Raw genomic sequence first — 14,291 nt, 5'->3', positions numbered from 1 at the left:
CTCCTTTTTCCTAGGGATCTTATTTATTACAGACTTGTTTGTGGAATGCAATGCTGGTGTCCTAGAAGAGACTCCTTATATAGTAATAACTGTATAGTCATCACCATGATAGTGAGGAAAAGTGAGAGTTGGCCTGGGAGTCAGGGCCCGGTGCTGGCCAGGGGGTTCGCAGCACTATTATGACCACTTGACTTTCTGTTTCCATCTGTGAACCCCAAATATCTGAGACAGGTCTCAGTCAATTTAGAAAGTTTATTTTGCCAAGGTTAAGGACACGCCTGTGACACAGCCTCAGGAAGTCCTGACGACATGTGCCCCAGGTGGTCGGGGATACCGTTTTTCTTTTTCTTTTGAGACGGAGTTTCATTCTTATTGCCCAGGCTGGAGTGCAGTGGCGTGATCTCGGCTCACCGCAACCTCTGGCTCCCGGGTTCAAGCGATTCTCCATTACAGGCATGCGCCATCACGCCCAGCTAATTTTGTATTTTTAGTAGAGACAGGGTTTCTCCATGTTGGCCAGGCTGGTCTCGAACTTCCAACCAATGGTGATCTGCCCGCCTCAGCCTCCCAAAGTGCTGAGATGACAGGCGTGAGCCACCGTACTCGGCCTTACAGTTTCATTCTGTACATTTTAGAGAGACATGCGACATCAATCCATGTGTGTAAGATGTACATTGGTTCAATTTTGTAAGGCAGGACAACTGGAAGTGAGGGCTTCCAGGTAGGAAGCAGATAAGAGACAAAAGGTTGCATTCTTTTGAGTCCTTGATCAGCCTTCCACTGAATACACAATTTAGTCTGGCTCAGTGAATCTGCATTTTTACATAAACGGTAGGGCAGAGGCAGCCATCAGATGTGCGTTTGTGTCTGGTGGGCCTCAGAGGGAGACTTGGAGCTCTGCCTGGCCTTCGTCCACAGGGAATTTTCCCACGGGCAAATTGTGAGGGAGGTCTGTAGCTTCTTGTCTTTGTAGCTATCTTATCCAGGAATAGAATGGGAGGCAGGTTTGCCTGACAGTTCCCGGCTGGACTTTTCTCTTGGCTTAGTGATTTTTGGGTCCCAAGATTTATTTTCCTTTTACACATTTATGAGCCTGAGTGGCAGGGCCTCCCTCACTCTTCCCACCCCAGCTCTCCTCTGCATCCCTGGATCTCAATCTCTGTGTTCCTCACTTTGGACTGGTAACCTGGCCTTGGTTCTCAATTGTTTGTGGGATAGGGTTGGGGATGTCAGGGGTAGCAGTTGGGGGTTGGAATAGCCACGGTGGGAAATGGGACCCAAGAACAACTGATAAGCCTCATGATTTTTCCGGCTCTCTCAGGGCCTCCAGGGTTTCTGGGACTGAGAGTTCAGGCAGGATAGATTTCATAAGAGGGTTCAAGCTCATTCTCCATCAGCCCAGAGAACTTGTCAGGCAAGTGTCAGGCCAGATGTCACCTCACTGTTTTGGGCCCTCTCCCAGTGGGCAAAATTGTTTTTTTTTTTTTTTTTTTGGAGATGGAGTTTCGCTCTTGTGGCCCAGGCTGGAGTGCAGTGGCACGATCTCCACTCACCGCAACCTCTGCCTCCCAGGTTCAGGCAATTCTCCTGCTTCAGCCTCCCAAGTAGCTGGGATTACAGGCATGTGTACCACACCCAACTATTTTTTTTTGTATTTTTAGTAGAGACGGGGTTTCTCCATGTTGTTCAGGCTGATCTCAAACTCCCGACCTCAGGTGAGCCGCCCACCTTGGCCTCCCAAAGTGCTGGGATTACAGGCGTGAGCCACCGCGCCTGGCCCAGGTGGGCAAGATCTAAGACATCACTCTGAGTTGGTTGTGTTTCCTCCGTCTGTCATGAGGGTCTTGATCAAAGGCAAGCATTGAGCTTATGCCTATTGCATTTCAGTTTGGTTGGTGACTTGATTGGAATCAAAGGTGGGAGAGTTGGTGGGAAAGAGAATGGAAAGCATCCTTCCCTGCAGCAAAGTCAATTCTGCCTCAAGGGGCATGAACCTCCATGCAGGTGCCAACCTCTTTAGCCCACTGGAGATCAGAGGTGTGTGTCATTTCATTTATACGTAAGAGTGGGGAGTGATGTGGGGCAGGGCTCTGCCATTTTCCAGTGACTCAGCCTGTGACCTTTGAGGGGAGATCTCAGAGAAAGAGAAGGTGCAGAACCTGAGCTTGCTTTCTTGGGGCTCAAATGGTGGTGGTTGCTGCTGCTAGTCTTAGAAGTCAGATGTACAGAGTTGAGTTACTCCTACTCCTTGGCCCCTGGATGTCAGCATCGTTGGTCCCTGGGAAACCCCCTCGTGAATTATTTACTTCCTTATTCCTTTTAGTCCCCATCCTGCAATTCCATTTCCTTCTCTCACTGCACATGATTCCTAGTTCTTTCATGTGTATCGTTTTGTTCGCATATTTTCATACAAATAGCATTTGCAGTATTTTAAATTTATGTACATATTCTATCTCATTATTTCTAACGCTTTTACATGCTTTTCCCCCATTTTTCACTGTTCTTAAGATCCGTCTATGCTGCTATGTGTACGTCTATTATTTTGCCTCAGTCCTGTTTCATCGTACTCCCTGGCGTGCATTCACTGTATTTTATTTCTCCATCTCAGTGATGGAAACTCAGGGAGTCTCCAGCTCCCACCACTAATTCCTGTGCAGGCAACATTTGCATACACCTCTCCTTACAGAATTGCATAAGAGCGGCCTGGGATGTATACCTCGTGGAGGCATTGCTAGCATGTTATACCGAATGTGACTAACAATGCCTGTGTGTGCCCCGGAACACTGCCAATGCCGACTCCTCTCAATCTGTCCTCTCGCCAGCAGGGTACAGGAGTGGCTATGTCCCACATCCCTGCCAATACTTGGCACTACCTGTATTTCTATATTTTGCCAATATAAAAGGCATACAGTGACATCCGGCTGTTGTTTTAATTTTCATTTTTTGTGTTACTAAAACTTTTGAGTCTCTCTTCATGGTAGATGCATGGTATACCGCTCCGGTTCCTGCTTCAGGACTAAAAGCTATGCCTCCCCTTACCCCTCTCCACCCCTCCCTGCCAGAGTGCCGGCTGTGAATGGCTCACAGGTGAGACCCTCCCTGGGAATTGCCCTCAGTCCAAGTAAGCAGCTTCACCCACACTTATGAGCTCTCCGTGGGGGCAGTGTCCATCCAGAGGCTAGTCAATGAAGGGGTACAAAGCCCCAGTCCCTTGCCTACATTCAGGACATCTCTGAAAAGACATGCCAGCATCAGCGTTCCCCAGTGGGATCAGCCAAGGCCTGTCTGTACCCACATCACCGTTCAGATTCTTGCTCTGCCCAGTCCTATCCTGATTTCCTCACTCCCTCACCGCGTTGCTGCTGAGATCACTCCCACATAGACCTCCTGCTCACAACTCCCTAGCTCCGAGTCTGCTTCAGCACAACTGACCTATGCCACCTTGTTCGCTTTTTGGAATTTCATCTTCTGTATAAATCTGTTTATATCCTTTCCACAATTTTTTTTCTTTTTTTGGTGGGGGGATGGATACGTGCTCTGTCACCCAGGCTGGAGTGCAGTGGCACGATCTTGGCTCACTGCAACCTCCACCTCCCGGGTTCAAGTGATTCTCCTGCCTCAGCCTCCTGAGTAGCTGGGACTACAGGCAAATGCCACCACACCTGGCTAATTTTTGTATTTTTAGTAGAGTTGGGTTTCACCATATTGGTCAGGCTGGTCCTGAACTCCTGACCTCATGAACTGCCTGCCTCAGCCTCCCAAAGTGCTGGAATTACAGGCGTGAGCCACGCCCGGCCCCTTTCCCCATTTTTAATTACAGTCATAAATGTTCAAGATCTTTCCATATTCTTCGTATCAATCCCTCATTGATTTAGATGTTACAAATATCTACGCCTGTTCTGTTAACAGTCTACTAACTTTGTCCATGGGGACTTTTGTTGATTAGAAACCCCTAATTTTAATTTAATCATATTCGTAAAAATTTGCCTTATGCTTTTGAAATTTTGTTTTGAGGAGGATCGATCACAAAGATACGTCCCTGCACTCTCTTCTGCCCATTTTATTTCCACTATTTTTCTTTAACCTTTTATACTTAGGTTTTTAAAGCATGCAGAGTCCTCTTTTGTATTTAGTGTTAAGTAGGGGTCCAGTTTTATTTTTCTCTATACAATGAGCCTGTTTCCCAAATGCCATTTACTAAATAATCTGTCCTTCCCCGTGATGTGCGGGACCACCTGCATCCTATATGTTATTTTTTATTTTTTAATCATTTTTTATTTTTTTTGCGATGGAGTCTCACTCTGTCGCCCAGGCTGGAGTGCAGTGGCGCAATCTCGGCTCACTTCAAGCTCCGCCCCTCCAGGTTTAAGTAATTCTCTGCCTCAGCCTCCAGAGTAGCTGGGATTACAGGTGCATGCCACCACGCCTGGCTAATTTTTTGTATTTTTAGTAGATACGGGGTTTTGCCATCTTGGCCAGGCTGGTCTTGAACTCCTGACCTCATGATCCACCTGCCTCGGCCTCCCAAAGTGCTGGGATTACAGATGTGAGCCACCGCGCCCGGCCTCACCTTCATCCTACATTAAGTTGGGACTGAATCTGAGCTCTCTATTCTGTTCTGGTGATCTATTTTTATGGTTTTTAAACTACTGTTTTTATTATGATGGCTTTTTAATATGTCTTTTTTTGTTGTTGTTGAGACAGGTTCCCACTCTGTCACCCAGGCTGGGGAGTGCAGTGGTGCAGCCACGGCTCACTGCAGCCCCAACCTCCTGGGCTCAAGAAATCCTCCCGTCTAAGTCTCCTGAGTTGCTTGGACTTACAGGCACGTGCCACCGTGACCAGCTAATTATTTTTTTCTATTTTTTGTAGAGATGGGGTCTCACTGTGTTGCCCAGGTTGGTCTTGAACTTCTGGCCTCAAGTGATCCTCCTGCCTCAGCCTCCCCAGGTGCTGGGATTCCAGGCGTGAGCCACCGCACCTGGCTATAATATGTCTTTCTATCAGATAGAGTAAAAGCTCCTCTTTACTCTCCTATTTTATTTTATTTTATTTTTTTGAGACAGGGTTTCACTCCTGTCCCCCATGCTGGAGTGCAATGGCACGAGAAGCTCACTGCAACCTCTGTACTCCTGGCTCAAGCAATTCTCCTGCCTCAGCCTCCCAAGTAGCTGGGACCACAGGTGCATGCCACTGTGCCTGGCTAACTTTTTTTTTTTTTTTTGGTAGAGATGGAGTTTTGCCATGTTGCCCAAGCTGGTCTCGAACTCCTGAGCTCAAGTGATCCGCCCACCTTGGCCTCCCAAAGTGCTGGGATTACAGGCATGAGCCACTGCGCCCAGCCCACTCTCCTTTTTTAAAGGTTGCCTTAGCTGTGGTTCTTTGTGTCTAACCCGAGTGTCTTCCTTTGTCCTGTACTGCCATAGTTTTTAGAGTAAGTTTAGCTCAAGTGCTTTGGACTTTATCTGCGGGCTTTGTCTGGGTCAGAAGCCCTTGTTTCAGCTGGCAGCCGTGGGCCTGAATGCTGACTTGTGTTCTTGGCAGTGAGCACACAGAAGCACAGGGAGAAACTTCAGGAAGAAGTGAAGCCAAGAGATGCTATCTGGCCTGCACTGGACACTTGGAAGCCCTGGCAATTCTCTGCACAGTAGAATCCAGTCTGATCCAAGAGAAACAGTGAATGGCACACAGATTTTAATGAGCCTGGGAACCTAATCGGAGGCTGTAATGAATGAGATTTCATGCGGCCCTGCCAAGGAGAGCACTCTCTCTGGATCTGTGGTCACTTGGCCCCTGCTCCCGAGGACTGCGAGGGCCTGTCAAAAGCTTAGCTCATTGCCACCTGCATCTCCATTCCTTCCGCAGCTCTTCTCATCCTGTTCCCAAAACCTCAGCTTTCAGGCATGTAGCATTTTCATTCCGTGATAATGAGGAGACTGTGAGCAGGCCATGGTTAGTCATCTGTGGTGTGAAGATGACGGGTGCTCCAGCTCAGGAGGTGCGTGCGGGTTCAGACACGTCAGTGCTGTGGCTAAAGACAGAAGCTGGTGAGGGGGAACGAGGTGACTCATCACCGAAACCTTGAGAACCAGGTTCAAGGAGAGGGCCTAGGCTTTCCAAATGCAGAATCTGCTTTCTTTGGTGGTGCTGAGGCTCCACCCAGGCCCGGTGGGTGCCATTAACTTCTGTTCTCTCCTCACCGAGGAACTTAACGTCAAGACAATCAGCTCCCGTGCCATCCGAACAGCTCTCCGAGCACCGGCCCATTCCGCCGTGGGCTTCCAGCTGCTTGCGCCTCCCCCTTCTCCATGCCGTTCTCATCCTCTCCTGCCGTGGCATGCTCAGGTTCCTTCTTTCTGTTTCTTCAAGGCTCTTACTTCTTTCTCAGTTAGTAGTTTTTAAAAATAGACCTTTTTTCTTTGAGACGGAGTTTCACTCTTGTGGCCCAGGTTGGAGTGCAGTGGCGCAACCTCAGCTCACTGCAAGCTCCGCCGCCCAGGTTCAAGCGATTCTGTTGCCTCAGCCTCCTGAGTAGCTCGGATTACAGGTGCCCATCACCATGCCCAGCTAATTTTTTGTATTTTTAGTAGAGATGGGTTTCACCATGTTGGCCAGGCTGGTCTTGAACTCCTGACCTCAGGTGATCCGCCTCCTCGGCCTCCCAAAGTGCTGGGATTACAGGTGTGAGCCACCACGCCCAGCCAAGAATATATATTTTTGATTGACTTGTGTGGATGGTGTTTCTTCCGCCAAGTGACTCTACAAAATGCTGGTTGTTGGCTTCCCACATTTACCTCAAGAGTGGTAAACAAGTCTGATTACTTGGTAATGTGGCTCTCTCTGCCTATCCTGAGTGTCTGTCCCCATCCTGCACACATGCTGGCTGCCACACTGGTACAAGGAGGCCCGTGTCATCTGCTCCCTTTGGAGAAGAGTCACATCTTGATTGGGGCCCCAGCAGCCTGGGCAGTACCCTTGTTTGACCTGTCTCTCTGCTGAACCCCAGAAGGCCTTATTGCCTTGCCTCTCTGCACCAACGCAACAGGCCACATAGAATCACTCCAGGGGAGAGGCTTTAATCTCAGCATCATTCTCCTCTTTCTTTTGCTCCAGGCAAATGTCGGGAGATAAAGAAGTGTACCAACTACCCTTCTGTTTCCTTTAGCTCATCTTTAAATGTACTGGCTGGCATCAGAGCCTCTAGAGGCTGCTTCAGAGACCAGCCACTGTGTCTTAAACAAGAGCAGGCAGAAGGCCTTGGAGTGGACTTTTGGGATTTTTATGCTGAAGGATATAGGGGACTTTATCCAGTGTTATCCTGCCTGGAGTCAGGGTGGATACGAAAGGGACTGGGAGCGGCTCCGTTTTTCAGAATCAGTGAGGGAAGGAAGCAGACTGTGCTGTTTTAAGATGCTCAGTGTAGTTGTCTAGGAAGAGTACTTTCAGAAGCCTTGAGACCTAGCAGGTGGGTAGGTAAAATATTCACAAAAGGAGCTATCTCAGCAGTGGGGATCAAGTTGTTGACTAATCCAATACTCCCTTGGAAAATTAGATCATCCATTCTTTACCCCCACCCTATTTCCTTATGAATTCCAGACTTTCAAAGGAAACAAGGATTACAGTGCAGCCCTCGGTCAGGCCACTGGACAGGATGCTGGGCTGATTGAGAGGGTCAGTCACAGAGTGTGCTCTGTGCCAACCATATCTAGCAGGATGCCAATGACCTTGTTTAGGGCTGTTGAAGATCCTGGAATGTTCCTCTGACTCTTAAACGTTCTGCTTGTCCACGTGTCTAACTATAAGACTAGAGAATCCACAGTCCAACTCTTAGAGGGCTAACAGTTTACCAAACACATAGGCAGAGAGGCTTCTTATGAAAAAATAATTGTATCCCACAAACTGGCTTTCCTGTATTTGGTCTCTCCCAGGGTATTAAATATAACTTTTTACATGCTGCAGGCTTCAAGGCACACCACATGACCAATAGACTTCCTTGTGTGGGCTCTAAATTTGGCCTACCAGTCCTGAGGGGACCACTGAAAGTTAGGTTACACTAAGCCACTCCAAACACTGTTGTACTTGGGTGAGGAAAGGTGGGCAAAGACAGAGATGGGCCTGTGAAGCTAGCTATTAGGGTTCTCTCTCTGGCCCATCATTTCTGCTCCCTGAGTCACCTCTTTCTCCTAGGAGCTTCTGAGGAGCTCAGATCAGATATTGGCAACTTGGCAGATCAAACATGCAGAAAGGACTGTTTTCCTGGGACACTTGAGAGCCACTCAGCTTTACCTTCTTATAAGCCATGGGGTCCCTGAATGAGGAGAAACTAGTGTGGAAAGGTACCTACACACTTTTGTGACTCAGGGGCTCTGATTTTTGCTTGCAAAGCAGACAAAAAGAGACCCTACGACAAGGAATCCAAGCTAATGGGCAAAAGAACTACAGACAGTAAACTATCCCAAATGCGCTGCAGATAGTAAACTATTGCAAATGCGCTGCAGATAGTAAACTATCCCAAATGTGCTACAGATAGTAAACTACCCCAAATGCAAGGCAGACAGTAAACTATCCCAACTGCGCTGCACATAGTAAACTACCCCAAATGCAAGGCAGACAGTAACCTATCCCAAATGCATTGAAGATAGTAAACTATCCCAAATGCGCTGCATATAGTAAACTATTGCAAATACACAATGGAGAGTAAACTATCCTAAATGCGCTGCAGATAGTAAACTATCCCAAATGCGCTGCAGATAGTAAACTATCACAAATACACTATGGATAGTAAACTATCCCAAATGTGTGGCAGATACTAAATTATCCCAAATGCACTGCAGATAGTAAACTATCCCAAATGTGCTGCAGATGGTAAACCATTGCAAATACACTATGGATAGTAAACTATCCCAAATGCGCTGCAGATAGTAAACTTTCGCAAATATGCAATGGATGGAAAACTATCCCAAATGCGCTGCAGATAGTAAACTATCCCAAATGCAAGGCAGAGAGTTAACTATCCGAAATGTGCTGCAGATAGTAAACTGTCGCAAATACACTATGGATGGTAAACTATCCCAAATGCGCTGCAGATAGTAAACTGTCGCAAACACACTATGGATGGTAAACTATCCCAAATGCGCTGCAGATAGTAAACTATCCCAAATGCAAGGCAGACAGTAAACTATCCCAAATGCGCTGCAGATAGTAAACTATCCCAAATGCAAGGCAGACAGTTAACTATCCGAAATGTGCTGCAGATAGTAAACTGTCGCAAATACACTATGGATGGTAAACTATCCCAAATGCGCTGCAGATAGTAAACTGTCGCAAACACACTATGGATGGTAAACTATCCCAAATGCGCTGCAGATAGTAAACTATCCCAAATGCAAGGCAGACAGTAAACTATCCCAAATGCGCTGCAGATAGTAAACTATCGCAAATACACTATGGATGGTAAACTATCCCAAATGCGCTGCAGATAGTAAACTATCCCAAATGCAAGGCAGATAGTAAACTATCCCAAATGCGCTGCAGATAGTAAACTATCGCAAATACACTATGGATGGTAAACTATCCCAAATGCGCTGCAGATAGTAAACTATCCCAAATGCGCTGCAGATAGTAAACTATCCCAAATACACTATGGATAGTAAACTATCCCAAATGTGTGGCAGATACTAAATTATCCCAAATGCACTGCAGATAGTAAACTATCCCAAATGCGCTGCAGATGGTAAACCATTGCAAATACACTATGGATAGTAAACTATCCCAAATGCGCTGCAGATAGTAAACTATCCCAAATGTGCTGCAGAGAGTAAACTATCGCAAATACACTATGGATAGTAAACTATCCCAAATGCACTGCAGATAGTAAACTATCAAAAATACACTATGGATAGTAAACTATCCCAAATGCGCTGCAGATAGTAAACTATCCCAAATGCAAGGCAGACAGTAAACTATCCCAAATGCACTGCAGATAGTAAACTATACCAAATGTGCTGCAGATAGTGAAATATCCCAAATGCAAGGCAGATAGTAAACTATTGCTAATGCGCTGCAGATAGTAAACTATCCGAAATGTGCTGCAGATAGTAAACTATCCCAAATGTGCTGCAGATAGTAAACTATCGCAAATACACTATGGATAGTAAACTATCCAAAATGCACTGCAGATAGTAAACTATCAAAAATACACTACGGATAGTAAACTATCCTAAATGCGCTGCAGATAGTAAACTATCCCAAATGCAAGGCAGACAGTAAACTATCCCAAATGCACTGCAGATAGTAAACTATACCAAATGTGCTGCAGATAGTGAACTATCCCAAATGCAAGGCAGACAGTAAACTATCGCAAATGCGCTGCAGATGGTAAACTACCCGAAATGTGCTGCAGATAGTAAACTATCCCAAATGCGCTGCAGATAGTAAACTATCGCAAATACATTATGGATAGTAAACTATCCAAAATGCACTGCAGACAGTAAACTATCCGAAATGTGAGGCAGATAGTAAACTATCGCAAACACACTACAGACAGTAAACTATCCCAAATGTGCTGCAGATAGTAAACTATCCCAAATGCACCGCAGATAGTAAACCATCCCAAATACAGAGCAGATAGCAAACTATCCCAAATGAGGTGCAGATGGTAAACTCTCCCAAATACAGAGCAGATAGTAAACTAACCCAAATGTGCTATAGATGGTAAACTATCCCAAATAAAGTGCACATAGTAAACTATCCAAAATGCGGTGCAGATGGTAAACTATCCCAAATACACTGCAGAGAGTAAACTATCCCAATGTGCTACAAATAGTAAACTCTCCAAAATTTGCTACAGATAGTAAACTATCCCAAATGTGCTGCAGATAGTAAACTATCCCAAATGTGCTGCAGATAGTAAAATATCCCAAGGGCACTGCAGATAGCAAACTATCAAAATACACTACAGATAGTAAACTATCCCAAATGTGCTGCAGATAGGAAACTATCGCATATACACTACAGATGGTAAACTATCGGAAATGTGCTGCAGATAGTAAACTATCCCAAATGTGCTAGAGATAGTAAACTATCCCAAAGGTGCTGCAGATAGGAAACTATCGCATATACACTACAGATGGTAAACTATCGGAAATGTGCTGCAGATAGTAAACTATCCCAAATGTGCTAGAGATAGTAAACTATCCCAAAGGTGCTGCAGATAGTAAACTATCGCAAATACACTACGGATGATAAACTATCCCAAATGTGCTGCAGATAGTAAACTATCCCAAATGCAAGGCAGACAGTAAACTATCCCAAATGCGAGGCAGATAGTAAACTATCCCAAATACAAGGAAGATCATAAACTATCCCAAATACAAGGCAGATTGTAAACTATCCCAAATGCACTGCGAATAGTAAACTACCCCAAATGCACTGTGGATAGTAAACTATCCCAAATGCACTGTGGATGTTAAACTATCCCAAATGCGAGGCAGATAGTAATCTATCCTTAATGTGCCACAAATAGTAAACTATACAAAATGTGCCACAGATAGTAAACTATCCCAAATGTGCTAATGATTGTAAACTATGCCAAATACAGAGCAGATAGTAAACTATCCCAAATGTGGTGCAGATGGTAAACTATCCCAAATGTACTGCAGATACTAAACTATCCCAAATGCGCTACAGATGGTAAACTATCCCAAATGCAAGGCAGATAGTAAACTTTCCCAAATGCGGTGCAGACAGTAAACTATCCCAAATGCAAGGCAGATAGTAAACTATCCCAAATGCGCTACAGATAGTAAACTATCCCAAATATGCTACAGATAGTAAACTATCTTAAATGCGGTGTAGATAGTAAACTATCCCAAATGCAAGGCAGAGAGTAAACTATCCCAAATGCGCTGCACATAGAAAACTATCCCAAATACACTATGGATGGTAAACTATCCCCAATGCGGTGCAGATAGAAAACTATCCCATATGCACTACTAATAGTAACCTATCCCAAATGCGCTGCAGATAGTAAACTATTGCAAATACACTATGGATAGTAAACGATCCCGAAAGCACTGCAAATAGTAAACTCTCGAAAATACACTATGGATAGTAAACTATCCCAAATGTGCTGCAGATAGTAAACTATCCCAAATGCAGTGCAGATAGTAAACTATCCCAAATGCAAGGCAGATAGTAAACTATCCCAAATGCGCTACAGATGGTAAGCTATCCCAAATGTGCTACAGATGGTAAACTATCGCAAATACACTATGGATGGTAAACTGTCCCAAATGTGCTACGGAGAGTAAACTATCCCAAATGTGCTGCAGATAGTAAACTATCGCAAATACACTATGGATGCTGAACTATCCCAAATGCGCTTCAGATAGTAAACTATACCAAATGCAAGGCAGACAGTAAACTATCCCAAATGTGCTGCAGATGGTAAACTATCCCAAATGCGCTACAGATGGTAAACTATTGCAAATACAGTGCAGATAGTAAAATATCCGAAATGGAGTGCAGATGGTAAACTATCCCAAATACGCTGCAGATAGTAAAGTATCCCAAATGTATTGCGGATAGTAAACTATCCCAAATGTGCTGCAGATAGTAAACTATCGCAAATACACTATGGATGGTAAACTATCCCAAATGTGCTGCAGATAGTAAACTATCCCAAATGCACTGCAGATAGTAAACTATCCCAAATACAAGGCAGATGGTAAACTATCCCAACTGCGCTCCAGATAGTAAACTACCTCAATTGTGAGGCAGATAGTAAATGATCCCAAATACAAGGCAGATGGTAAAATATCCCAAATGCACTGCAGATAGCAAACTACCCCAAATGTGCTCTGGATAGTAAACTATCCCAAATGCAAGACAGATAGTAAGCTACCCCAAATGCGAGGCAGATAGTAAACTATCCCAAATACAAGGCAGATGGTAAACTATCCCAAATGCACTGCAGATAGTAAACTACCCAAAATGCGCTGTGGATAGTAAACTATCCCAAAAGCGAGGCAGATAGTAACCTATCCCAAATGTGCCACAAATAGTAAACTATCCCAAATGTGCCACAGATAGTAAACTATCCCAAATGCACTACAGATTGTAAACTATCCCAAAAACAGAGCAGATAGTAAACTATCCCAAATGCACTGTGGATAGTAAACTACCCCAAATGCGCTGTGGATAGCAAACTATGGCAAATGCGAGGCAGATAGTAAACTATGCCAAATGCACTGTGGATGGTAAACTATCCCAAATGCGAGGCAGATAGTAACCTATCCCAAATGTGCCACAAATACTAAACTATCCCAAATGTGCTGCAGATAGTAGACTATCCCAAATGCACTACAGATGGTAAACTATCCCAAATACAGAGCAGATAGTAAACTATCCCAAATGTGGTGCAGATGGTAAACTATCCCAAATGCACTGCAGATGGTAAACTATCCCGAATGCCCTACAGATGATAAACTATCCCAAATACAGTGCAGATACTAAACTATCCGAAATGCGGTGCAGATGGTAAACTATCCCAAATACGCTGCAGATAGTAAACTATCCTAAATGTGCTGCAGATAGTAAACTATCCAAAATGTGCTACAGATAGTGAAATATCCCAAATGTGCTGCAGATACTAAACTATTCCAAATGCGCTGCAGGTAGTAAACTATTGGAAATGCACTACGGATAGTAAACTATCCCAAATGTGGTGCAGATAGTAAACTATCCCAAATGCGCTGCAGATAGTGTACTATCCCAAATGCACTACAGACAGTAAACTATCACAAATGTGCTGCAGATAGTAAACTATTCCAAACGTGATGCAGAGAGTAAACTATCCAAAATGCAAGGCAGAAAGTAAACTATCCCAAATGTGCTACAGATAGAAAACTATCCCAAATGTGCTATGGAGATTAAACTATCCCAAATGTGCTGCAGACAGTAAACTATCACAAATACACTTCAGATTGTAAACTATCCCAAATGTGCTGCAGATAGTAAACTATCCCAAATGCACTATGGATGTTAAACTATCCCAAATGCAAGGCAGATAGTAAACTATCCCAAATGTGCTATGGATAGTAAACTATCCCAAATGCACTACAGATGGTAAGCTATCCCAAATGAACTGCAGATAGTAAACTATCCCAAATGGGCTATGGATAGTAAACTATCCCAAATGCACTACAGATAGTAAACTATCTCAAATCTGCTGCAGATAGCAAACTATCCCAAATGCGCTGCAGATAGTAAACTATCCCACATACAGAGCA

At 44.6% G+C, this 14,291-nt stretch overlaps 7 annotated features.

Moving 5' to 3' along the window:
* Positions 5,403-6,602: an enhancer, noted in NCBI's record as "P300/CBP strongly-dependent group 1 enhancer chr3:197121050-197122249 (GRCh37/hg19 assembly coordinates)". NCBI's record gives its function as "activates an origin of replication core promoter dependent on BRD2, BRD4, P300/CBP, MED14 and CDK7 cofactors, with strong dependence on P300/CBP, by STARR-seq in HCT116 cells {active_cell/tissue: HCT116}" and the evidence as "EXISTENCE:reporter gene assay evidence [ECO:0000049][PMID:35650434]".
* Positions 5,403-6,711: a biological region, named in NCBI's record as "P300/CBP strongly-dependent group 1 enhancer GRCh37_chr3:197121050-197122249".
* Positions 5,546-5,595: an enhancer, noted in NCBI's record as "active region_21110". NCBI's record gives its function as "activates an Ori minimal core promoter by ATAC-STARR-seq in GM12878 lymphoblastoid cells {active_cell/tissue: GM12878}" and the evidence as "EXISTENCE:reporter gene assay evidence [ECO:0000049][PMID:35858748]".
* Positions 5,606-6,485: an enhancer, noted in NCBI's record as "active region_21109". NCBI's record gives its function as "activates an Ori minimal core promoter by ATAC-STARR-seq in GM12878 lymphoblastoid cells {active_cell/tissue: GM12878}" and the evidence as "EXISTENCE:reporter gene assay evidence [ECO:0000049][PMID:35858748]".
* Positions 5,789-6,083: an enhancer, noted in NCBI's record as "tiled region #14311; K562 Activating DNase unmatched - State 20:ReprD". NCBI's record gives its function as "activates a minimal TATA promoter and a strong SV40 promoter by Sharpr-MPRA in K562 cells {active_cell/tissue: K562}" and the evidence as "EXISTENCE:reporter gene assay evidence [ECO:0000049][PMID:27701403]".
* Positions 6,210-6,711: an enhancer, noted in NCBI's record as "H3K4me1 hESC enhancer chr3:197120941-197121442 (GRCh37/hg19 assembly coordinates)". NCBI's record gives its function as "activates a minimal SCP1, AML or CMV promoter by ChIP-STARR-seq in primed H9 embryonic stem cells {active_cell/tissue: H9 hESC(primed)}" and the evidence as "EXISTENCE:reporter gene assay evidence [ECO:0000049][PMID:30033119]".
* Positions 6,976-7,025: an enhancer, noted in NCBI's record as "active region_21108". NCBI's record gives its function as "activates an Ori minimal core promoter by ATAC-STARR-seq in GM12878 lymphoblastoid cells {active_cell/tissue: GM12878}" and the evidence as "EXISTENCE:reporter gene assay evidence [ECO:0000049][PMID:35858748]".

This window comes from Homo sapiens, chromosome 3 (genome assembly GCF_000001405.40).
Source record: "Homo sapiens chromosome 3, GRCh38.p14 Primary Assembly".
Taxonomy (NCBI): domain Eukaryota; kingdom Metazoa; phylum Chordata; class Mammalia; order Primates; family Hominidae; genus Homo; species Homo sapiens.
This window is presented reverse-complemented; position numbering and strand designations above follow the sequence as displayed.